This window comes from Homo sapiens, chromosome 8 (genome assembly GCF_000001405.40).
Source record: "Homo sapiens chromosome 8, GRCh38.p14 Primary Assembly".
In the NCBI taxonomy this organism is placed as follows: domain Eukaryota; kingdom Metazoa; phylum Chordata; class Mammalia; order Primates; family Hominidae; genus Homo; species Homo sapiens.
This window is the reverse complement of record NC_000008.11, coordinates 62213296-62240165: the sequence shown is the minus strand read 5'-3', so window position 1 is coordinate 62240165 and position 26870 is coordinate 62213296. Positions and strand designations below refer to the sequence as shown.

Here is a 26870-nt window from a genome sequence, read left to right as displayed (position 1 = left end):
CCTGAAACCAAAACCTGGCAGAGAAACAGCAAAAAAAGAAAATTTTAGGCCAGTATCCCTGATGAACATCGATGTGAAAATCCTCAATAAAATACTGACAAACCGAATCCAGCATCACATTAAAAAGCTTGACCACCATCTTCAAGTTGGCTTCATTCCCAGGATGCAAGTCTGGTTCAACATATGCAAATCAAAAGGCATAATCCATCACATAAACAGTACCAATGACAAATACCACATGATTATCTCAATAGATGCAGAAAAGGCCTTCGATAAAATTCAACACCCTTTCATACTAAAAACTCTTGCTAAACTAGGTATTGATGGAACCTTTCTCAAAATAATAAGAGCTGTTTATGACAAACCCACAGCCAATATCATACTCAACTGGCAAAAGCTGGAAGCATTCCCTTTGAAAACTGGCACAAGACAAGGATGCCTTCTCCCACCACTCCTATTGAACATAGTATTGGAAGTTCTGGCAAGGTTAATCAGGCAAGAGAAAGCAAAAAAAGGGTATTCAAATAGGAAGAGAGGAAGTCAATTGTCTCGATTTGCAGATGACATGACCATATATTTAGAAAACCCTGTTGTCTCATCCCAAAGTTTCCTTAAGCTGATAAGCAACTTTTGCAAAGTCTCAGGATACAAAATGAGTGTGCAAAAATCACAAGCATTCTTCTCCACAAATAATAAACAGAGAGCCAAATCATGAGTGAACTTTCATTCACAATTGCTACAAAGAGAATAAAATACCTAGGAATACAACTTACAAAGGATGTGAAGGACCTCTTCAAGGAGAACTACAAACCACTGCTCAACGAAATAAGAGAGGACATAAACAAATGGAAAAACATTCCGTGATCATGAATAGGAAGAATCAATATCATGAAAATGGCCATACTCCCCAAAGTAATTTATAGATTTATTGCTATCCTCATCAATCTCCCATTGACTTTCTTCACAGAATTAGAAAAAACTACTTTAAATTTCATATGGAATGAAAAAAGAGCCTGTATAGCCAAGACAATCCTAAGCAAAAAGAACAAAGCTGGAGGCATCACGCTACCTCACTTCAATCTATACTACAAGGCTACAGTAATCAAAACAGCATGGTACTGGTATGAAAACAGATATGTGTATATATATATATATATGTGTGTGTGTGTATATATATATATGTGTATATATATATATGGCATAAATAGGATTCCCTATTTAATAAATGGTTTTTCTGTTGTTTGGAATAGTGTGTGTATGTATGTATGTATGTATGTATGTATATATATGTATATATACCAGTGGAACAGAACAGAGGGCTCAGAAATAACACCACACATCTACAACCATCTGATCTTTGACAAACCTGACAAAACAAGCAACGGGGAAAGGATTCCCTATTTAATAAATGGTGTTGGGAAAACTGGCTAGCCATATGCAGAAAACTGAAACTGGACCCCTTCCTTACACCTTATACAAAAATTAACTCAAGATGGATTAAAGACTTAAATGTAAGACCTAAAACCATAAAAACCCTAGAAGAAAACCTAGGCAATACCATTCAGGACATAGGCATGGGCAAAGACTTCATGACTATAACATAAAAGCCAATGGCAACAAAAGCCAAAATTGACAAATAGGATCTAATTAAACTACAGAGCACACAGCAAAAGAAACTATCATCAGAGTGAACAAACAGCCTAGAGAATGGGAGAAAATTTTTGCAATCCATCCATCTGACAAAGGGCTAATACCCAGAATCTACAAAGAACTTAAACAAATTTACAAGAAAAATCCAAACAACCTCATCAAAAAGTGGGCAAAAGATATGAACAGACACTTCTCAAAAGAAGACATTTATGTGGCCAACAAACATGAAAAAAAGCTCATCATCGCTAGTCATTAGAGAAATGCAAAAGCACAATGAGATATCATCTCATGTCAGTTAGAATGGTAATCATTAAAAAGTCAGGAAACAACAGATGCTGTTGAGGGTGCAGAAAAATAGGAATGCTTTTACACAGTTATTGGTATAGTAAATTAGTTCAACCATTGTGAAAGACAGTGTGGTGATTCCTCAAGGATCTAGAACCGGAAATACCATTTGACCTAGCAATACCATTACTGGATATATACCCAAAGGATCATAAGTCATTCTATTATGAAGACACATGCACACATGTGTTTATTGCAGCACTGTTCACAATAGCAAAGACTCGGAACCAACCCAAATGCCCTTCAATGATAGACTCAATAAAGAAAATGTGGCACATATACACTGTGGAATATTATTCAGCCATAAAAAAGGATGAGTTCATGTTTTTTGCAGGGACATGGATGAAGCTGGAAACCATCCTTCTCAGCAAACTAACACAGGAACAGAAAACCAAACACCGCATGTTCTCACTCATAAGTGGGAGTTGAACAATGAGAACACATGGACACAGGGAGGGGAACATTACATACCAGGGCCTGTCAGGGTGTGGGGGGCTAGGGGATGGATAGCGTTAGGAGAAATACCTAATGTAGATGATGGGTTTATGGGTGCAGCAAACCACCATGGGACGTGTATACCTATGTTACAAACCTGCGGTTTCTGCACAAATATCTCAGAACTTAAAGTATATATATATAAAAAAAGGTTGGGAAGTATTTCCTCTCCTTCTAGTCTTTTAATGGTCTAATATACTACTTGTTATTTCCTCCTGTGAAATGAAAAATTCTCCTGCACCTGGGTTTTTTTGTGGAAATATAAATAATAAATTCAATAATAATCTACTGTATAAACCAAATAATAAATTTTTTAAAAAGGCAGAGCATCACCTTGTTTGACTTCAGCTAAGAATATCTGCCTCAATTTTTTTCCTGCTTTGCACATGACAATGAATGACTGTAATATGTTGTGAGTATTGATTTGAAGGTTGCAAATAAATTTTAGCTAATAGGTGAATTTGGTAATATGTGTTCTGAGAATAATAATCATTGACTACATATATATTGTGTGTGTGTGTGTGTGTGTGTTCACTGGTGCAGCCTCAATTTTTTTTTTACTTACAATGATGAATTTTGAAAAGTTTAAATAGAACTGACCTGCAGAATAAAGCTGAAGCTACTCATGCAGGCATTTAAGAACTTTAATAATCTAGTTTTCTGTGTGATATATGCATGTATATATATGTATATATTATATTATATATACATATACGTATATGTATATATTATATATGTGTGTATATAATATATACATATACGTATATGTATATACACACATATATGTATGTATATACATATACGTATATGTATATTATATATAATATGTATATTATATATACATATACGTATATGTGTATATTATATTATATATGTATATGTGTATATTATATAATATATACATATATATTATATATACATATATGTATATATAATATATACATATATACCACAGAAAACTACTCAGCCATAAAAAGGAGTGAAGTAACGGCATTTGCAGGAACCTGGACAGAATTGGAGACAATTTTTCTAAGTGAAGTAACTCGGGAATTGAAAACCAAACATCATATGTTCTCACTCACAAATAGGAGCTAAGCTATGAGGACACAAAGGCATAAGAATGATACAATGGACTTTGGGGACTCGGGGGAATGGATGAGGGGGTGAGGGATAAAGACTACATATTGAGTAAAGTGTACACTGCTCAGGTGATGGGTGCACCAAAATCTCAGAAATCACCACTAAAGAACTTATTCATGTAAACAAACACCACCTGTTCCCCAATAACCTATTGAAATAAAAAAAAATCTTGTTTTCTAATTGTCTTTACTACTAACTAGTACTACTACAACTATTCCTTACATATTATGAGATTTGCAATTATTTTTAAATAATCTTGTTTCTCCTGCAGACAGTAAGCTAACTAAGGGCAGGGGCAAGGTTTTATGTCATGTATACCAACCTCCTTCTACAGTGCTTGGTTTATTGTAGAGTCTCAATAAATGTGGGGCCTTCTTTTGTCATTGTATTATTTTTAGTAAAACTGCATTGGATAATACTGGAAAATAATGCTCAGATAGGTAGGAGAAGAGACCAGCCAAGAAAGGCGTGGTCTGTGGTGCCAAGTGCTACAGAGAGATTAAAAAGGAACAGCAACAACTTTAAGAAGGAATAGGATCTGAAGATGATCACAGCTATAATTCAGGGGGCCCACTCTCATGACCAGCAGAAAAGGCACCTCAAACTCAGATATGTTTCTTTCCAAAGCCCATAGTCCTTCCCCTCAGACCACATCATTTCCACTACAGAAAGGAGCATAGAAAGACAGGAAGCCAGATTTACACTAGCTTTTGGTGTTTTATATTAGCAAATGGTGGTAGTTATATGTGAGTAAGTGTCCTGAAGCCACCTTGTGAAGGGCCTTGGGTCCCAAACAAGGTGCAAAGACAATGTGATCTCTAACTTCCTGTAGGGAAGTCAAAATTCAACCAGGCCCTCTCTGGTGAAACTTTTATCCCTGGGTCATCCAAAAGGCCACCAGGGCTGAGAACAATCTGGTAACTTTGCATAAGGGAGAAAAACCCAGAACCTCTTTAACCAAAATTTTTAGGAATAAATATATTCTGGTGGAGCTGCTGGTCATCATTAGCCATGCTTCTGCACCAGGCATTAAAAGATAAAGACATTAACACTAAGGTCAAACTTGTAGTTAGAATCTTACTTGAAGAACCCAGAGCTTTGCTTTGTCATTGATGATCAAAGTTAGTATTAATCCTGTGCTTTCTGATATAAGGATTAAACCATCTGAATTTCCTGTTTTTGAGTACCTAATGATGTTTATGAATAAAATGCTTGTTATGTGCTATACAATATTTGTTCTATTTACCTTTATTATTATCCTATGACAGACACAATACTAATGAGAGAAAATATTGCCTGAATTCCTGTGATAAGTTAAGCCCGGAAAATATACTCCTGTTTTCTGCAGAGTAAATTCAATCTACACAGATTAATAGCAGATTTTATATTGGTTATGATAGGGAGACTCTGATTTTTTCTGCACTGTTCTTTAAAAAAAAAAAAGCTTCTCAGTTTGCTTACAAATACTTAGCAAGTTAGTCATTTTACATAAACTGCCTCAATTTCGATAAAGAGTGCTGTTTTCTAACATGAGATATGGGCATATGAATTTAAAACTAGATCATATTTATGTCTGTCTATTAAAGAAAAAATTGAAAATATGATTTGTTAAAAATATTGATGAAACTATAAAAAATTCTGTGGTGTCTATACAAAAGATAACAGCAGACAAAAATCTTCTGAATCACTTGTTTCAGCATAGGGTCAGCCAGAGTGTGAAGAGGTGACACGCTGATGACTTATCTTAGTGGGCACCCCAAATGCTTCAGGCAATGGGTGTGAGCATGAGACCTCCTTGGACAGGGACAAACGGTAAAAGTTTTTGGAAGCATTTGTTTTTTTAACCACATGCGCAGCTTTTTGGATTGGCATCTTCAGTGATTCTCATTTTGGCTCACCATAAATCTTCCCTTCCCACCACTGTGCATTAACAAACATTTATTACATTTCCTGTATGTGTCAGAGACTGTGCAAGGAGCTTGGCAGGCACAAAGAATAAGCCAGGACTGTAGCTGTGACCAACTTGAGAGGAGCCCTGGTGGATTTCTGTATAATATGCCTGTCCTTTGGGTTTATAACGCTGTAGTTGAAATGAATGTTAACATCAACTAGTTAAAAAAAAAAAGAAATAAAAATTCTAATCTTCCTACTGAATGTGATTCATGGATGTGACAAATTTCTCAGGGTTCTTATGACTATTTCCCCTTTCTTTGATATGATACAAGGAAATAAGCCATCGTATTTATAGAGTTAAACATATTTCTGTTCCCCACACCTTCTCTACTCCACTGAAGAAATAGCAAAAGTCAAATTCCTTTGTCATTTGTTATACCATAGCACATAGGAACAGCTTTCAAAGAACCAGGTACTTTTGTTCCTATTGCAAATCGTCACTTGTCATTATAAACAGAGAACACATGCCACTGGAGAAGTATCATGTGGTGATATTAGTGGGGCTAAAAGAGGGATGAAAAAAATCACTAGAGCACCTTGGGAAAAAAAATGGCCAATAATAACATTTTACATGTCAGCCACGTAGGGAAAAAACCCAAACAACCTTGCAGACATATGAAATAGTAATTATGCCATTCACAGTCAACAGTATAGCTCTTATTACTACACACTACATGCAGAACATAATTATGTTACCTTTACATGATGTAGTTAATGATTAGCAACATAGACATAAGTGATCACACAAGATTTGGTTATCCTGCCCATTTTAATACTGTGATGAAATGATGAATTCAAAGCTGAAAGAAAAAACTACAACAACATACATCCTGCGTAGGCTCAGTCATCATTGTTGCCCACGTCGAGGTTGGAAGGGAACAGCAGTACTCATACCCAGGGCCCCTTTGCTTCCCCAAAACCCCACTGTGGATGAGCTCATATTCCAACCACTCGGGAAATGCTGGGATTCAACACCCTGCCATGTGTCTGGGAGGATGGCTGATAAAGTCTTTGTAGATATCCTGTTCCATCCACTTAAATGTTAGGTTTTCTCCTGTTAATGAAAAGTCTAATGTGTACAGTAGTTTCCAAATGTGGGTGGCTGAAGTGTTTTTAATGTGCAGGTTTCTAGGCCTTACCCTGCTTCCGTTATGCTGTGTAAGACACTGCTGAAAATCTCAGTGGCTCACGGATATTTATTTTACCCACTGCTGTGAATTTGGTTGTGGCTCAGAGGGAATGGTACTATGATCTGAATGTTTATGTCCCCCCAAAATTCATATGTTAAAACCTAGTCACTGAGGTTAGAAGGTGGGGTTTTGAGGAGATGATTAGGTCACCAGGGTAGAACTCTCATAAGTAGGATTGCTGTCCTTATACAGGTGACCCTGGACAGCTAGCTAGTCCCTTCTGCTATGCAAACACACAGGTGGAAGTTGCTGTCTTTGAGGAGCAGGACCTCACCAGACACAGAATCTTCCAATGCCTTAATCTTCGACTTCTCAGCTTCCAGAACTGTGAGAAATAAATTTCTGTTGTTAATAAGCTACTTTGTCTACAGTAGTTTGTTATAGCAGCCCAGATAGACTAAGACAGCTGGTCTGATCTGGGCTGGGCTTGGGTTCAAGTCTGCCCCAGGACTCTCTTTCTAGAACACAGACAAAAGGAACAGCAGCTACACGGAGTCTGCAGTTTTTATGACTATGGCAGGAGCATAAGAAGATGAATGAAAACATTTCATGGCCCTTAAAGTCCCTGTTTGGAACTGACCCACCCTAGCTTCCAGACACATTTTATTACTCAAAATGAGTCACATGACCAGACTCAAGTTCAGTGAAGTCCAGAAGTATCCCCTGCTCCGTGGGGCAAGGGAGGAGGAATGATCAATTGGAGATTGATGCTAAGGGACTGGGTATAACAAACTCCACAGGTGAGCCTTCTTTTCTTTTCTTTTTTAAGAGACAAGATCTTGCTTTGTCACCCAGACTAGTCTCAAATCTTTGGTGCCAAGCCATCCTCTCATCTTGGCCTCCCAAAGTGCTGGGATTACAGGGATGAGCCGTGGGTAATTCTTACGAAGCTAATCCTGCACCTGTTGGAGGATTGCCATCTTGGTACCACTAGAGAACATGTCATAGTAAGAGAAATGATGGGCTCCATTCTTTCAGTCGCTTAACCAATATGTAGTTAGTCACTAATATGCACTGTCCAAAATTAGAAACTGTTAACACAACTCATGTGACTTAATAATAGAGAATAGATAAGAATGGAAAGGGAACAAGGAAAGGGGCACCTAATACAAATTGAGAATGAGGATGAGCGTATCAGGAAAGGTCTCCCAGATAAGGCAATATCTGAGCTCAGTGATCATGACAGGTGAACATTTTCTAGAGCTGGGAAGGGCATGAATTGGTGGGAGTAGTCTAGGCAGAGGAGATCACAGGACAAAATGAGGAGTTTAGAAGCAGCATAATATATGTGGCAGAGAGTGCCATATGTTCTCCAAATCTTTCTTCTTTTCCATCTCAGTCTCAGAGTTTGGTAACATTTCCAAGCCTAGCTTCTAGTCAGGTATGGCCATGTGGCTGATTATGGCACAAGAATGAGGACATAATTAATATATTATCTTTCACATCTGGCCTTTAGAAACTTTCCACATGCAAACCTCCATTGTCTCCCTCTTTCTTCTCAATCAGGTGAAAGCTAGGAGAGTGAAGCAACAAAGGGAAGACACAGAGACACTGGATGATCATATGGAAAGTCTTCCCCAACTAGGAATGTTCGCATGAGTCAAAGATAAAGTTTTATTGTGTTAAGTCACTAAAATTTAGGATGTTTGTTATATCAGCTAATATTACTTGCCTTAATCAATATAGTATCCATATGTTATGCTGATGGTAAGTAATGGCTATGAGGCAGGAAAAAGAGATGTCAATCATTGACTAGCTGTGTTAGTCATTTCTTCTAGATACTTTGGGGGTTATTCTAGAAACCAAGTGGATTAAAAGATAGAGTAGCACCCTAGAAATATAAACCTCGGCAAGGCATTAATATGAACATGTAATCATGCCCAGCTTAAGGGCTGGTTTATGCTGCAGAGACTGTGTGTGAAGCACAATCATTTATAATATGCATGTATGGCAGAAGAACAATGAAGATGTTCTTCTGGCAGCTTTTTTATTCCTAATGTGTTTGGATGTGTGCCCCTCAAAAGTTCATGTTTAACTGCAGCTGAGTTGAGCTTACCCTGTACCTTTCAACCTTGGAAGTGTCTGTTAGCCAGTGAGACCTAAAGGAAAAAACCCAGCACATGAATCGGTAAGTCGTTACATGACTGGAATTAAATAGTATAACAATAAAACCTCTGAGTTGAAGCCATGACAAGTAAGACAAGGTATATGTTTCTGCTTCCTTTTTAAAGTAAGATATGACCTGGAAGTTATTCTTCCTGCCAAAGAAAGTGGAGACATAAAGGCTCCCTTTTCCTTTCCAGAATGATGACTCATAGAAGAGCTGAACTCTAGCAAATAGAGAAATAAGCCCATACAAGGGATAATAGGGACTGGTGAGAGGCAGGTAAGAGAAAGCCCTTTTCAGAGGAAACCTTTTCTTAACACACAAGATATTAACTCTGTATTGAATATGGATTTTGGCCACACACAAGCAGAGGCTTGGAATATTTGGCATATAATTATAATAAGGGTCTTGACACAAGGGCAAGATTACTTCATTGGGGATCTTCATGGAAAACAACGACAGAGGAAACCCAGAAGCAGGCTTGGTAGAACCCATCAATACCAGAAGAGAAACACAGAATTGACCAAAACAGAGGTAATTCTTCTAGTTACTTCAGTAAGTAGAGAATGGAAACACATCGGCACTCCCACTGTGTCGAATCTCTGATGCTTGACCCTATGTTGTGAGTTCAGTCATTATCTTCTAATCTTGCCCCTATATTTATAAAATCAGGATTCAAAGACTCCTTCAAATTCTTTTCATATATAAAAAATGGGGTTGAATCCCATTGATTATTTATTCAAGATCCTGGTGCCAAGAATGAACAGATTAGGAGAGTGCAGCCATGTTTAAGCGTGAGGTTTTAGGGAAGCAGACCCTTGAGACAAGAATTAAAATGCAAGCAGTTTATTTGGAAGATGATCCCTGAAACCACAGTAGATGAGTGAGAAAATAAAGCCGGAAGAGGGAGGGCCAATAAAAGTTGGATTATGAAACAAAATACCACAGTATTCCACTAAATCTGGGGAACTTTGGAAATGGTACAGAATATGCACCCCAGAGCCATCTTCTCTGAAGGACAAGGGTGTAGAGGTATTTACATAACAGCTCTTGACAAGTCAGAAGTTGAGAATTGTTCCTGGGAGATTTTAATTCCTCAGACCTGCAGCCTGCCCTAAAGGAGAAACACAGGTGCTGGCAGGAGGAAACTAAACCTCTGTGCACTGAAATAGTAAGGGCAGGAGATATGCGTGTGATATTAAGGGCATCTATAAACCCCTGTTGGATGCTTTTTCTAGACTGGACATGCTGCTTGGTAAAATTACTTCCATGTATTTCCCATTTTGTCCCAACACCAGTGATTTGGCTATACACTGGAGAATCTGTATGCAGGTACTCAGGGTTATTTTTAGGCAAAAGTTGGATTTCTGTGTCTTTTACTATTTACGTAATACAATTAAAATTGACTTTAAGTAAAAAATGAGCTAGGTCTACAACTGTTTTCAAAATGTATCAATTCCTTACCATTGTTCAGTATATGCATGCTATGGAAAACACACGGGTTTTCCATAGGACATTGTCTAATGAAATGTGTTCTCCCGTAGTGAGCTGTACATTATTCAGGTGAGACCACAGCCTTACTGAGGGCACATTTGTGATCTAGTAAATGCAAAGCAAATCTATACTATTTGGCCTTGAATGGCACTTCTAATTTTTAAAACTACTTAATAATATCAACCATCACAGTACTTTTTTAAATTATTATACTTTAAGTTTTGGGACACATGTGCAGAATGTGCAAGTTTGTTATATAGGTATACACGTGCCACAGTGGTTTGCTGCACTCATCAACCCAACAAGTACATTAGGTATTTCTCCTAATGCTATCCTGTTTCTAGCCCCCCAACCCCTGAGAGGCCCAGGTGTGTGATGTTCCCATCACTGTGTCCATGTGTTCTCGTTGTTCAACTCCCACTTATGAGGGAGAACATGCGGAGTTTGGTTTTCTGTTCCTGTGTTAGTTTGCTGAGAATGATGGTTTCCAGCTTCATCCATGTCCCTGCAAAGTACATGAACTCATCCTTTTCTATGGCTGCATAGTATTCCATGGTGTATATGTGCCACATTTTCTTCATCCAGTCTATCATTGATGAGCATTTGGGTTAGTTCTAAGGCTTTGGTATTGTGAACAGTGCTTCAATAAACATGCGTGTGCATGTGTCTTTATAATAGAATGATTCATAATCCTTATTATGAATAAGGGTCATGCTGGGTCAAATGGTATTTCTGGTTCTAGATGCTTGAGGAATCACCACACTGTCTTCTGCAATGGTTGAACTAATTTACTCTCCCACCAACAGTGTAAAATCATTCCTACTTATCCACATCCTCTCCAGCATCTGTTGTTTCCTGACTTTTTAATGGTCACCATTCTAACTAGCGTGAGATGGTATCTCATTGTGGTTTTGATTTGCATTTCTCTAATGACCAATGATGACGAGATTTTTTTCATGTTTGCTGGTGGCATAAATGTCTTCTTTTGAGAAGTGTCTTTTCATATCCTTTGCCCACTTTTTGATGGGGTTGTTTGTTTTTTTTTCTCGTAAATTTGTTTAAGTTCCTTATACATTCTGGATATTAGCCCTTTGTCAGACGGATAGATTGCAAAAATTTTCTCCCATTCTGTAGGCTTCCTGTTTACTCTGGTGATAGTTTCTTTCACTGTGCAGAAGCTCTTTAGTTTAATTAGATCCTATTTGTCAATTTTTGCTTTTGTTGCCATTGGTTTTGGTGTTTGTCATGAAATCCTTGCCCATGCCCATGTCCTGAATGGTATTGTCTAGGTTTTCTACTAGGGTTTTTATGGTTCTAGGTCTTATGTTTAAGTTTTTAATCCATCTTGTATTAATTTTTGTATAAGGTGTAAAAAAGGGGTCCAGTTTCAGTTGTCTGCATATGGCTAGCCAGTTCTCCCAAAACCATTTATTAAATAGGGAATCCTTTCCCCATTTCTTCTTTTTGTCAGGTTTGTCAAAGATCAGATGGTTGTAGATGTGTGGCCTTGTTTCTGAGCGCTCTGTTCTGTTCCATCGTTCTATGTATCTATTTTGGTACCAGTACCATGCTGTTTTGGTTACTGTAGCATTGGAGTATAGATTGAAGTCAGGTAGCCTGATGCCTCAAGCTTTGTTCTTTTTGCTTAGGATTGTCTTGGCTATATGGGCTCTTTTTTGGTTCCATATGAAATTTGCAGTAGTTTTTTCTAATTCTGTGACGAAAGTCAATGGTAGCTTGATAGGGATAATGTTTAATCTATGAATTACTTTGGGCAGTATGGCCATTTTCATGATATTGATTCTTCCTATCCATGATCATGGAAAGTTCTTCCATTTGTTTACGTCCTCTCTTATTTCTTTGAGCAGTGCTTTGTAGTTCTCCTTGAAGAGGTCCTTCACATCCCTTGTAAGTTGTATTCCTAGGCATTTTATTCTCTTTGTAGCAATTGTGAATGGGAGTTCACTCATGATTTGGCTGTCTGTTTGTCTGTTATTTGTGTAGAGGAATGCTGGTGATTTTCACACATTGATTTTGTATCCTGAGACATTGCTGAAGTTGCTTATCAGCTGAAGTAGATTTTGGGCTGAGACAATGGGGTTTTCTAAATATACAATCATGTCATTTGCAAACAGAGACATTTGACTTCCTTCTTTCCTATTTGAATACCCTTTATTTCTTTCTCTTGCCTGATTGCCCTGGCCAGAATTTCCAATATTATGTTGAATAGGAGTGGTGAGAGAGGGGATGCTTGTCTTGTGATGGTTTTCGAAGGGAATGCTTCTAGCTTTTGCCAGTTCAGTATGATGTGGCTGTGGGTTTGTCATAAATAGCCCATATTATTTTGAGATAGATTCCATCAATACCTAGTTTATCGAGAGTTTTTAGCATAAAGGAATGTTTAATTTTATCAAAGGCCTTTTCTGCATCTATTGAGATAATCATGTGGTTTTTGTCATTGATACTGTTTATGTGATGGACTACGTTTATTGATTTGTGTATGTTAAACCAGCTTTGCATCCTAGGGATGAAGTCGACTTGTTCATAGTGGATAAGTTTTTTTCTGTGCTGCTGGATTCGGTTTGCCAATATTTTGTTGAGGATTTTTGCATCAATGTTCATCAGGGATATTGGCCTGAAATTTTCTTTTTCTGTTGTGTCTCTGCCAGGTTTTTCTATCAGGATGATGCTACTCTCATAAAATGAGTTAGGGAGGAGTCCCTCCATTTCTATTGTTTGGAATAGTAAGACGGATTGGTACCAGCTCCTCTTTGTACCTGTGGTAGAATTCAGCTGTGAATTCCTCTGGTCCTGGGCTTGTTTTTGTTGGTAGACTATTAGTAACTGTCTCAATTTCAGAACTTGTTATTGATCTATTCAGGGATTCGACTTCCACCTGGTTTAGTCTTAGGAGCATGTATGTGTCCAGGAATTTATTCATTGCTTCTAGATTTCTTAGTTTATTTGCGTAGAGGTGTTTATAGTATTCTCTGATGGTAGTTTGTATGTCTGTGGGATCAGTGGTGATATCCCCTTTATCATTTTTTATTGTGTCTATTTCATTCTTCTCTCTTTTCTTCTTTATTAGTATTGCTAGTGGTCTATCTATTTTGTTAATCTTTTCAAAAACCCAGCTCCTGGATTCATTGATTTTTTGAAGGGTACTTCATGTCTCTATCTCCTTCAGTTCTGCTCTGATCTTAGTCATTTCTTGACTTCTGTTAGATTTTGAATTTGTTTGCTCTTGCTTCTCCAGTTCTTTTAATTGTGATGTTAGATTGTCAAATTTAGATCATTCCTGTCCTTTCCTGTGGGCATTTAGTGCTACAAATTTTCCTCTAAATACTCCTTTAGCTGTGTCTCAGAGATTCTGGTACATTGTGTCTTTGTTCTTATTGGTTTCAAACACCTTCTTTATTTCTACCTTAATTTTGTTATTTACCCAGTAGTCATTAAGGAACAGGTTGTTTAGTTTCCATGCAGTTATGCAGTTTTGAGTGAGTTTCTTAATCCTGAGTTCTATTTTTTCTAAGTTTTTAATCCATCTTGGTCTGAGAGACTGTTTGTTAAGATTTCCAGTCTTTTGCATTCGCTGATGAGTGTTGTACTTCCAATTATGTGGTCAGTTTTAGAATAAGCGTGATGTGGTGCTGAGAAGAATGTATATTCTGTTGATTTGGGGTGGAGAGTTCTGTAGATGTCTATTAGGTCCACTTGGTCCAGAGCTGAGTCCAAGTCCTGAATATCCTTATTAATTTTCTGTGTTGTTGATCTGTCTAGTATTGACAGTGGGGTGTTAAAGTCTCCCACTATTATTGTGTGGGAGTCTAAGTCTATTTATAAGTCTCTAAGAACTTGCTTTATGAATCTGGGTGCTGCTGTATTGGGCGCATATATATTTAGGATGGTTAGCTCTTCTTGTTGCATTGATCTCTTTAACATTATGTAAGGCCCTTCTTTGTCTTTTTTTGATCTTTGTTGGTTTAAAGTCTGTTTTATCAGAGACTAGGATTGCAACCCCTGCTTTTTTTTTTATTTTTTTGCTTTCCATTTGCTTGGTAAATATTACTTCATCACTTTATTTTGGATAATTCTTTCATTACTTTATTTTGCGTGTGTCTTTGCATGTGAAGTGGGTCTCCTGAACACAGCACACAAAAGGTCCTGACTCTTTATCCAATTTGCCAGCCCATTTACATTTAAGGTTAATAATAATATGTGTGAATTTGATCCTGTCATTATGATGCTAGCTGGTTATTTTGCCCATTAGTTGACGCAGTTTCTTCATAGTGTTGAGGGTTTTTAAAATTTGATATGTTTTTGCAGTGGCTGGTACCAGTTTTTCCATTCCATATTTAGTGCTTCCTTCAGGAGCTCTTGTAAGGCAGGCCTGGTGGTGACAAAATCTCTCAACATTTGCTTGTCTGTAAATGACTTTATTTCTCCTTTGCTTATGAGGCTTAGTTTGGCTGGATGATATGAAATTCTGGGTTGAAAATTCTTTTTTCTTAAGAATGTTGAATATTGGCCCCCACTCTCTTCTGGCTTGTAGAGTTTCTGCAGAGATATCTGATGTTAGTCTGATGGGATTCCCTTTGTGGGTATCCCTACCTTTCTCTCTGGCTCCCCTGAACATTTTTTCCTTCATTTCAACCTTGGTGAATCTGATGATTATGTGTCTTGGAGTTGCTGTTCTCGAGGAGTATCTTTGTGGTGTTCTCTGTACTTCCTGAATTTGAATGTTGGCCTGTCTTGCTAGATTGGGGAAGTTCTCCTGGATAATATCCTGAGGAGTGTTTTCCCACTTGGTTCCATTCTCCCTGTGACTTTCAGGTACATCAATCAAATGTATATTTGGTCTTTTCATATAGTCCCATATTTCTTGGAGGCTTTGTTGGTTCCTTTTCATTCTTTTTTCTCTAATCTTGTCTTCTTGATTTAGTTCCTTAAGTTGATCTTCAATCTCTGATATCCTTTCTTCTGCTTGATCGATTCAGCTATTGATACTTGTGTATGGTTCACAAAGTTCTCATGCTGTGTTTTTCAGCTCCATCAGGTCATTTATGTTCTTCTCTAAACTGGTTATTCTAGTTAGCATTTCCTCTTACCTTTTATCTAGGTTCTTAGCTTTCTTGCATTAGGTTAGAACATGCTCCTTTAGCTCGGAGGAGTTTCTTATTAACCACCTTCTGAAGCCTACTTCTGTCAATTTGTCAAACTCATTCTCCATCCAGTTTTGTTCTCTTGCTGGTGAGGTGTTTTGATCCTTTGGAGGAGAAGAGGCATTCTGGTTTTTGTAATTTTCAATCTTTTGTGCTGTTTTTTCCTTATATTCATGATTTATCTACCTTCAGTCTTTGATGTTGGTGTCTTTCAGATGGGGTATCTGTGTGGGTGTTATTTTTGTTAATGCTGATGCTATTCCTTTCAGTTTGTTAGTTTTCCTTCTAACAGTCAGGCCCTTCTGTTGTAGGTCTGCTGGAGTTTTCAGTAGGTCTACTCCAGACCCTGTTTGCCTGGGTATCACCAGCACAGGATATAGAACAGCAAAGATTGCTGCCTGTTCATTCCTCTGGAAGTTTCATCCCACAGGGGCACCTGCAAGATGCCTGCCAGAGCTCTCCTGTATTAGGTGTCTGTTGACCTCTGCTGGGAGGTGTCTCTCAGTCAGGAGGCATGGGGGTCACTGAACCACTTAAGGAGGCAGTCTGTCCCTTAGCTGAGCTGGAGCTCTGTGCTGGGAGATCCATAGCACTCTTCAGGGCCAGCAGGCAGGAATGTTTTAGTTGGCTGAAGCTATACTCACAGTCACTCCTTCCCCCAGGTGCTCTGTCCCAGGGCGATGGGAGTTTTATCTATAAGCCCCTGACTGGGGCTGCTGCCTTTCTTTTAGAAGTGCCCTGCCCAGAGAGGAGGAATCTAGAGAGACAGTCTGGCTACAGCAGCTTTGCCTAGCTGTGGTGGGCTCCACTCAGTTCGAACTTCCTGGGGGCTTTGTTTACACTGTGAGGGTAAAACCACCATTCAAGCCTCAGTAACGTTGGACACCCCTCCCTCCACCAAGCTTTACAGTCCCAGGTTGACTTCTGACTGCTGCACTGGAAGGGAGAATTTCAAGCCAGTGGATCTCACTTGCTGGGCTCCTTGTGGGTGGGGTCCACTGAGCTGGATCACCTTATTCCCTGGCTTCAGCCCCTTTCCAGGGGAGTGTATGGTTCTGTCTCGCTGGCATTCCAGGTGCCACTGGGGTATGAAAAATAACTCCTGCAGCTAGCTCTGTGTCTACCCAAACAGATGCCCAGTTTTGTACTTAAAACCCAGGGCCCTGGTGGCATAGGCACCCAAGGGAATCTCCTGGTCTGCAGGTTGTGAAGATTGTGAAAAAAGTGTAGTATCTGGGCTGGAATGCATCATTTCTCACAGCACATTCTCTCAAGGTTTCCCTTGGCTAGGGGACAGGGTTCCCCAATTCCTTGTGCTTCCCAGGTGAGACAATGCCCCACCCTGCTTCGGCTCGCCCTCTGTGGTCTGCACCCACTGTCTAACTAGTTCCAATGAGATGAGCCGGGTACCTCAGTTGGAAATGCAGAGAGAGACCTTCTCCGTTGGTCTCTCTGGGAGCTGCCAAATGGAGCTGTTCCTATTCGGCCATCTTGCCAGCCACCTGCTCTGCCTTTTTATTAATTAACAAATAAAATTTGTGTATATTTTGGGTTTACAAATTGATGTCTTGAAATACTTATACATTATAAAATGATTGCTGCAATCAAGCTAATTAAAATATCCAATACCACATATAGTTACCATTTCCTTCCTTCCTTCCTTTCTTCCTTCCTTCCTTCCTTCTTTTCTCTTTTGTTGGTGAAAACACTTAAGATATTCCTTCCCAGCATGCTTCAAGTAGACTGCACAGTATTGTTAACTATAGTTATCATGTTGTACCTTAGCTCTCCCGAACATATTCACCTTGCTTAAGTAAACACTCCATGCAACATGTTCTGACCAACATGTTCCCATTTTCCCCCTTTTCCCAGATACTGGAAATCACTATTTTACTATCGGCTTCTGTAGATTTTAGTTATTTAAATTCTACTTATAAGTGAGTTCATGCAATATTTGGCTTTCTGTACCAGTCTTATTTCACTGAGCATAATGCCCTTCTGGTTTATCCATGTTTTCCAAAAGGTAGGATTTTCTTCTTTTTTTAAAGCTATTTCGTTGTATTTACATTTTCTTTATACATTCATTTATTTATGAACTTGTATTTTACTATCTTGGCTGTTGTATTAATACTGCCTTGAACATGGAAGTGCAGATATTGATGTCATTTCCTTTTGATATACACCTTGTAGTGGAATTGCTGAATAATATGGTAGTTTTATTTTTAATTTTTTGAGGAACCTCCATGTTTTCTATAATATCTGTACCAATTTACATTCCCACTAACAGAGTACAAGGGTTCCCTTTTTTTCCCATATCCTCACTTATACTTGTTATCTTTTGTCTTTTTGATTATAGGCATTCTAAAGGATGTGATGTGATAACTAATAATAGCTTGGATCTGCTATTGGAAAACTATTAAGAATAGCAATAACCACTACAATTTGTTAAAGTATGTACCATATAAACATTTTCCTGATGATTCGTGATGTTGAGCACTTTTTCATATATCTGTTGCCTATCTTATGTCTTCTTTTGAGAAATCTCTACTCAGGTTCTTTGTCCATTATTTAATAGGGTTATTAAATTTTTGGCCTTCAACTTGTATGAGTTTCTTATATGTGTTGGATATTAACCCTTTATCAGAATTATTGTTTGCAAATATTTTCTCCCATTCCATAGGTTAACTTTTCACTCTGTTGATTATTTCCATCACTGTGCAGAAGGTTTTTAATTCAATGCAAACCTCACTTGACTATTTTTGCTTTTGCCTTTGTTGCCTGTGCTTTTGGGATTATAGGCAAAGAATTATTGCCCAGACCGATATTAAGAAGCTCTTTCCCCTTGATTTCTTCCCATGGTTATTTGGCTTCAGGTGTTAACATTTAAGTCTTTAATCCACTTTTTTGTATTAGGACACAATTTCATTCTTCTGCATGTGAGTATCCAGTTTTCCCAATACCATTTATTGAAGAGATTATCTTTGCCCTATTGTGTATTCTTGGCACTGTTTTTTGAAAATCAGTTGGCAGTATTTATTTCTGTGTTTTCTATCCTATTCCATTGTTCTATACATGTATTTTTATGCCAGTATCACTCTGTTTTGATTACAATAGCTTCATAATCCACTTTGGAATCAGGATGTGTGATGCCTACAGCCTTATTCTTCTTGCTCGAGATTTCTTTGGTTACTTAGGATTTTGTGGTTCTGTATGAATTTTGAGATTTTTTTTCCATTTCTGTAAAGAATCCCATCAGGATTTTGATAGGGATTACATTGAATCTGTAAGTAACTTTGGGTAGTACAGACATTTCAACAATAAGTCTAATAATAATTTCAATAATCCAGGAACACAGATATAGTTCTATTTATCTGTGTCTTCTTTGATTTATTTCATCAATATTTTATAATTTTTACCACACAAGGCTTTTGCTTCTTTAAGTTTATTCCTAAGTCTTTATTTTTCTTTCATTGCAATTTTAAATAGGATTATTTTCTTAACTTTATTTTTGGATGGCTTGTTGTTTGTACAAAGAAACATTAATTATTTTATGTTAATTTTTGTGTCCTGCAACTTTACTAAATTTGTTTATTTGTTCTAATAGTCTTTTTATTGTTGAGTCTTTAGGGTTTCTTGCATATATGTTTATGTGATTTGCAAGCAGAGATAATTTTACTCTTTCCTTTCTGAAGTGGATGTGTTTTATGTCTTTTTATTGCTAAGTTTTCTGAGTAGGGCTTTTAGTACTATGCTGAATTGAAGTGGCAAGGGTGGGCACCCTTATCTTGTGCCACCTTAATATAAAAGTTAAAAGACAAAACTATTAAGAATAGCAATAACCACAAAAAATTGTTAATGTATGTGCCATATATAAAGAACTAAACGCAGACTATAAGAATATAAAGCTACAGAGGAGAGTAACATTGTAAAGTTTTTGTATGCTATGAAGCTGACTTAAAATAAAAAGTTATAACTGCAAGATATTTTATGCAAGCCGTGAGGTAACCATTGATTTTCTAGAACATAACTACCATGACTAGTGAAACTAGACTGTGTGTATGTGTTTCCATATGCATTATAACAACATGCTATATAATTCATATGACATACCCAGAAAACTGCATTAAGACACAGAAACCTTAGGTCAAGGTTAAGCTTCTTTCAGGTGGGCATACAAAGAGATTACATTGAATTATATAGACAATTCAATTGTTTCTTCATGTTCAGTTGGCTATTAAGCCAAAATAAACCTATCTTTGAATAAACATTTAGTCTAACTAGAGTAGAACCCTAGGATTTCACCTGTTTTTGCTCACATATAAGCTTAATAAAGACTCCATCATAGGACATTTTTCTATCAGTAAATTTATTGAGTAGTTATCCTCTGGTGTGCAAATTCTATTAGTGCTTGCCTTATGAAACCCCATCTCTGCCTGCTGTCATCTATATAGGCAACAAAAATCAACCATCCTCGATAAATGGAGTCAGGGAGACAATAGGAGGAGATGCTCAGAAAGGAGGTATGTGGTGGCAGCATAAAATGACACATAAAGGTCACTATCAAAATCTGAGGAAGACTAGTCTATAGTCTAATAGACAAAGTTGATTTCTAGCAGGCACTAGATTTGAAGAGTGGCCTATAGGAGTTTGAGATTTCACAGATGCATGGTTCTGGCTGATGCAAAAGTCCAAGTTGCAATCATTGGGAGTGAGTGGCTTAAACTGAATGAAAGTGAAAATCATTAGAAATCAAATGGTCAAATAATTCTACTTCCTTTAAAAATGTCAGGAATTGGGATGGGGGATAAATCTATGAACCAGGCCTCCAAATTCTTCCTAAATGCAGAAGAGTGACCCAGAAAGTGAATATCACATAGAGGTGGGCAGACAGGTGTATTATAGCTGGATGCCCTGGGCTTCAGTACATTTTTGTTTAACAATGGAACAGTAAACATTGGGAAATATGCAGCATAGATGGCTCTGGGTTCAGAATAGGAAAAAACACTAGAAAAATAAAAATAGCATCTCCTGCTTTCCAGGACATCTTTTTCCTCTTGGTAGTTCTAGAATATGGAAGGATGATAAAAATGTGTGAAGAACTTGTTCAAGGTAACGCTTAATTCCACTGGGCACAATGTAAGGGGTGAGGAGAAAGATGAACCCGTAGGTGAGGATGAGTGCAGAGGTGGAGGAGCGGAGCCACAGAAGTCACCAGAGAGGCCTGACTTTGAGACTGGGCCCAGTGATTCCCAAGAGAAGAATAGAAGGAATTTACTAGCCTAGGAAAGGTTTCCTACATTTGATATAAATGTCATTTAATGCTAGAATTGACTGAAAGTCTCAGGTGTTATCAGAGTCTGGTCTATCCAAGACTTCCCCCTTTGAGGCATAATAAGTGGCCCATAGCATCCAGAAAGATTTTTGGCAAGCCCTGTATTCCAGCTTGGTGAGCTGTGATCCAGGTGTGACGTGAGGCCCTAAGCAGGATTTACAAAGTCCTTTACCATTTATCTTCATCTCCTATTTTTTCTGGCAAGAGTAAATTTCCAACAACACTCCCCTCTCCACAGCCAAGTTCCATATGGGCACAATTTATGTGTCCTCTCTAACTCTATCTGGGGAGTTCTCAATCCAATTCAAGGCTCAACTGAAATGACAGCTCCTCTGTGAAATCTTATGCAACTGCTCCTTCTCTCCCCAGGCTTCATCGAACTCCTCTTTCATGTCAGAAAGTTCACAGAGCACTTCAAACACACTGAAGGTGGCATGGGGAAACTGAATTAGACAAAATTAGACAGAATTAATGTGCCCTGAGCCCCCAAATAACATGGCTCATGTCCTTTCTAATGGAGAAAGCATTAGCAAAGTCTGATTATAAATCCAAACATAAACATATATACCTGGCAAACGAGAGCCAACAACATGTAGTGATAAAAACTCCAGACCCAGATTTCTTGGCCTGGAATCTTGAGCTACCAGGGATTTACTTGATAGCTTTGAGAAACTTATGTTATTTCCAGGTCCTTCTTTGTAAAAAGAGGATGATGCTAAAGGTATTTAAAACATGTAAGTGTTACGAAAATTAAATGAATAAATTAACGTAAAGCAGTTAGAGGTGCCCCACACTCATGGATAATGTGCAGTAACAGATAGGTGTTATTTTTATTAGAACAACTTTTAAAATCTTCTTTATTCTAATTGAAAATTGATATTAAATTTGTTTACATATTTTTTATTTTTGTTCATTATCTTTTACTTTATACTTTTTCTTTTTGGAGAATACAAGTAATAAAAAGTAAACTAAAGAATATTATTAGGAAACATTTCAGTTTTTCCTAAATCTCATATAGCTAATGCTTATTTTCAAATTATGATTTGATATATTTATATTTACACACACATATGAACACACATATGATAATCATTTAAAAATAATTGTATTTCATTATTAGTTAACTAAAATAACCTAAATTGTTTAATATTTTATGTCATTGTATTCTATACATATTTTTAAAAGGAGATTTATGTAAAGTAATTTTAAATAGATGAGGTGAAAATGGGAGTATGTTTAGACAATATATTTTAAGAAACTTGTACTTTTTCTTACCAGTTCTTGTTCTTACAAGTCTATGTTATTACAGACAGGGATTCCTTACTTTCACTTCTTATTTGAATCATGTGGGAATGTAAATATTGGTAGCTTTTCAGACAAAACTGCAAAGTGAAAATGTATTCTGTGTTTTAGCGGGGCTTTTCCCTGCTCTTAAAATAAACCAGCAAGTGGGAGATTTTCAGACTTGAGGTCTATTTATTAGTTAACAGTCTGCTTAAGACAGCATTTGTTCTAAGCATTTGCCAAATTTCTAAGCAGTTAGAAATCTTACTAACTCAACCCTAGCCAATCCATCACAGCTTCACAAAGGAGACAATGAAAAGCATGCCTGTCTCTTGCACTTAAAATTGAAATTAGCCTGATTGGATTGCACAAAGAGTCCTCGGCAGTCAGCCCTGATCGCCTTCAAAGGATTCATATACATAGAAAAAAATATCTGAAGCTACGAAGACTTGAGAATCTGGCACAAATAATGTCATCTTCAACTTGAAGCTTTTTTAAAAAAATCTGCTATTCCAGAAGTTTCCAAACAAACAGTTTTAATACTATATTTATTTGATCAACTTATTTATTTGTAATGCAATAGCTACAGGTGGCTCTAAATATGACTATTCAAATTTAAGCCTATTATCTTTACATAACTTTTGAAATATATCTTGTTTAGGGAAGTAAAGAAAATAAATAATGTTCCTGAAATTCTGCTGTGCTCACTGACCATTTACAGTAGGCGTGGCAAATAGAAATGCTTTCATGGCCAGGCAGGAGGTGTGATCAGGGGCAGCAGGCTGGGTGGGGATGTTGTGAATGGAGGGGAGAGTGTTGATTAAAACAAGTGACCAATACTCAGCTTCAGCTAATTGTTGCTTTGCATGGGAACTGAAACTCTGGAGTTTATCAAGAGAAGGCTGAAAATTGGATTTTTATGTGGTAACTTCCATTTTTTCCACAATTTAATTAATTTAAGAAATTAAAGCACTGTGTGGGTCAGCAAAACAAATGAGTCATATTTATCTTTGGAGCAATTATTTAGCCACCTCTGTTTAATAGTTTGTTTCATAATTAGCGTTCTAGAGAATGATCTTGAATTTTTGTGTTTTATAGTTTGTTTTTGTTCTTCTACCGTAAGACCTTTGGTCAGCCTCTAGGATATTCTAATATAATATGGTGTCATGAATATCAGTTAGTAATATTAATATCTAGATTTACCAAGCTGGTGTCCATAAAAACATTTCACCTCCTCCTTCTCCCTCTTTTCTCCTTTTGTAGATAAGAGTTAACTCGTACTCCTTTAAACAAGGAAGGGAACTAACATTCAAGTGACTCACATACCAGACATTTCTCTTCCAAATACTTTTATCCTAATGAAACCCTCCAAGAATCCCAGATAAAGAGAGGAAGTCCAATGGTGAATAAATAACTTATTAAGTATCAAACATCTAATAAATAGAATAAAAGTAATTGAAACCAAGATCTGGTGATAGTAAAGCCCAGCCCATTTTCATTTTAGAATGCTGCCACTGAGAACAAACATTTATTTTCTCTTTTATTCTATAGGTAATTCAAGCAATTTTTCATTCTTTTATACATCATAAAACAATTGGAAAATAAAAAAAGGATACCAGTGCTAACATCAATTTAAATCTAATGAACTAGACTGGGCGTGGTGACTCACACATGTAGTCCCAGTATTTTGGGAGGCCAGGGCAGGTAGATGACTTGAGCCCAGGAGTTTGAGACCAGCCTGCGCAACACAGGGAGACCCCATCTCTACAGAAAATACAAAATAATTTGCTGGGTGTGGTGGTGAAAGCCAGTAGTCCCAGCTATTCGGGAGACTGAGACAGGAGAATCACTTGAGCCCAGGAGGTCAAGGCTACAATGAACAGTCATCATGCCACTCTACTCCAGCCTGGGTGACAGAGAAGAATGCTGTTTCAAAAATAAACATAAAAATAAATTTAATAAATTCTAGGATTTCTAATTTGAAGATAGAAGCAATAAAGAAAATGAGAAACCAAAGTAAATTATGTTTGATTAAACCAGAGGTCAGCCATAATTCTGAGCCTAAAAATACGAGGAGGCCACCTGAAGCAGTTGTGAGTAAGCTGGGTGTGATAGGAAGCAGAGCGAGGTTGCTCATTGCCAGATCTTAATTAAAAAAATATTAAATTAGGATGATATACTTTTGCAAAATTAAAGAAAGCCCCTGAGGTGCTAATACAAAATTTCCTTTTTGCAACAGGACTAATAAAGAAATTCATGTAGTAGTGGGATCTGCCATGGACTGAGTTTGTTTCCAAGAACAGAAGAGTCAGGACCAGTGAAAAATAGCACAGACATATTTGCAAAAGCAGTCCTCCCGCGTTAGGAAGAAGGGATACTTTTGCACAGTGAACAGCACAACAATTGCTTGTTTCTTTCATGTACTACTTACACATGGAATTAATGAGATAATCCTGTGTTCCATACATAGTCCTTCCTGCCCCTATTGAATAGAGAAACCCAATTTCACCTTGGTTATCTCTAGATCAATTACGTGTCAATAGATTTACTGTTTTCTTTACCTTTAGTTTCAAGAAGAACTAAATATGCCCAAGTGGTATTTCAACTTCCACTTAATGGAACCTGTCATCTAAAGAAGTTTCCTCCCTTGGGAATTAATATCTCTAAACGGGGAGAACCCAAAGTTTCACAAAAGGGAAGAGAAAGTCTGCAAGTGCAAATTAAGCATAATAGTGCAGGGTGCTCCCTCCCCTTGATTTTCAGATTCATGTGTTTTTGTTGTAAGAGAAATTACACGTTGGTCACTGATTCAAAGTTTATACCACACACTGTAGGACAACATCCCAACCTTACGGTGTGTTGTTTACCAGCTGGGAGCATTAACTGAGTTACATGATTCCATTCTATCATTTCAGATTCTTCTAGGTGAAGAATCCAATTGTTGTAAATCCAATGAATTGCATAAACGTGAGCCTATTACCACATGTCTTTTTTGGCAGCAAAATGAGTTCCTTAGTCAAAAACAATATTGTATGGGATATCATGATGGTAAATAACAAATTATTTAAGTTCATGCATGGTAGTACCAGCAGAATAATTACAAATGTAAAAGGTGAATTGGTACCCGAAATAAGTATCTATTTCAATGAGGACAAATTCCCTAAGGGATGCATCTCAGTGTCATCAATCTGCAAGTTGACTGGGTATCCCCTGAGGGAAGGTTGTCATATTAGCCTTAGAGTTGTTCTACATTGGTCCAGATACAATTTGATTATGTAAAGTCATGAATACATTTTATTCTTAATGTCATGTGCATTTGTCCATGAGCCCATTGAACAAGTGTCAGGTGACTAACATTTATTATACAACATGTCATTTTATGCATATGATTACTCCTCTTCAGTGGATTCCCTCTAATGAGATTTTTCTTGGGATACAAGTATTTTCATACTTTGTGTCTATTTTAAGAAGTCATCCTCTCATCATCCATCTTTTAATATTCTTCCTTTCAATTCCGTGATCATCTAGCCAAACTATTAGCAGCTACTCATGAATCAGGGTCCGCTTCTCGTAAAACCATGAGTACACCAGGTAGGTAAGTGAACCAATGTGGGAAATTTGTCAGTTTCCAAGCATGTCTGTTTAGCTATCGAATGGACCCAGAGGATCACTGAGCCAACTGTGAGACAATCCGGTAAAAATTTCATTATCATTTGACCCCCAAAAACCTAAACTCTTCTGACTTTTTATTTTTAAAAACATCAAACTATTCAAAAGTAACGAGAATAATATATCAATTCTCCATGTATCCGCTGCACAACATCACAAATTTTAAACCATGCATGAGTTCACATTTTGAATAGAAGGATCCAGGGCACAGGGGACACTAAAAGCCCCCAATATGGTCATGTGTCACATAATGGTTTTTTGGTAAATGCTAGACTGCATACAAAGGTGGTCGCTTAAGATAACAGAGCTGAAATATTCCTACCATCTAGTAACACTGTGGCCATGATAACATTATAGCACAATGCATTACTCATGTGTTTGTGGTGATGCTGGTATAAGCAAACCCACTACATTTGTCAGTGGCATTAAAGGTTAGCACATATACTTATGTTCTGTATGTCATACTTGATAACGATAATAAATGACTACGTTACTAGTTTATGTACAGTTGATCCTTGAACAGCATAGATTTGAAATGCATGAGTCCACTTATATGCAAATTTCCTTCTGCTTCTCCCATCCCTCAGACAACAAGACCAATTCCTCTTCTTCTTACTCCTCCTCAGGCTGCTCAACATGAAGACGCAGATGAAGACCTTTATGATGATCCACTTCCACTTAATGAATAGCAAACATATTTTCTCCTCCTTATGATTTTCTTAATAAAATTTTCTTTTCTCTTACTTTATTGTAAGAATACAGTATATAATTAACAAAGTATGCCTTAATTGACTATTTATTTGATCAGTAAAACTTGTAGTTAAGAATAGGCTATTAGTAGTTAAGTTTGGGGTAGCCAAAAGTTATATATGGATTTTCAACGGCACAGGGGCTGGTCCTCCTAAACCTTGCATTATTCAAGGATCAACAGTATTTTACCATACTACACATTTTATTCATATTTTAGAGTGTAGTACTTCTACTCATTAAAAAACATTAACTATAAAACGGCCTCAGGCAGGTCTTTCAGGAGTTATTCCAGAAGAAAG

At 37.3% G+C, this 26870-nt stretch overlaps 1 long non-coding RNA gene across 1 annotated transcript in view; it reads left to right on the top strand.

The window, feature by feature from the left end:
- Nucleotides 1-26598, top strand: part of LOC124901952 (uncharacterized) — a 45162-nt gene extending 18564 nt beyond the window's left edge. The window contains exon 2 of the long non-coding RNA XR_007060932.1: nucleotides 26448-26598. This is a non-coding gene — a long non-coding RNA (uncharacterized LOC124901952). The remainder of the gene's footprint in view (nucleotides 1-26447) is intronic.
- The last annotated feature ends 272 nt before the right edge of the window (nucleotides 26599-26870 follow it).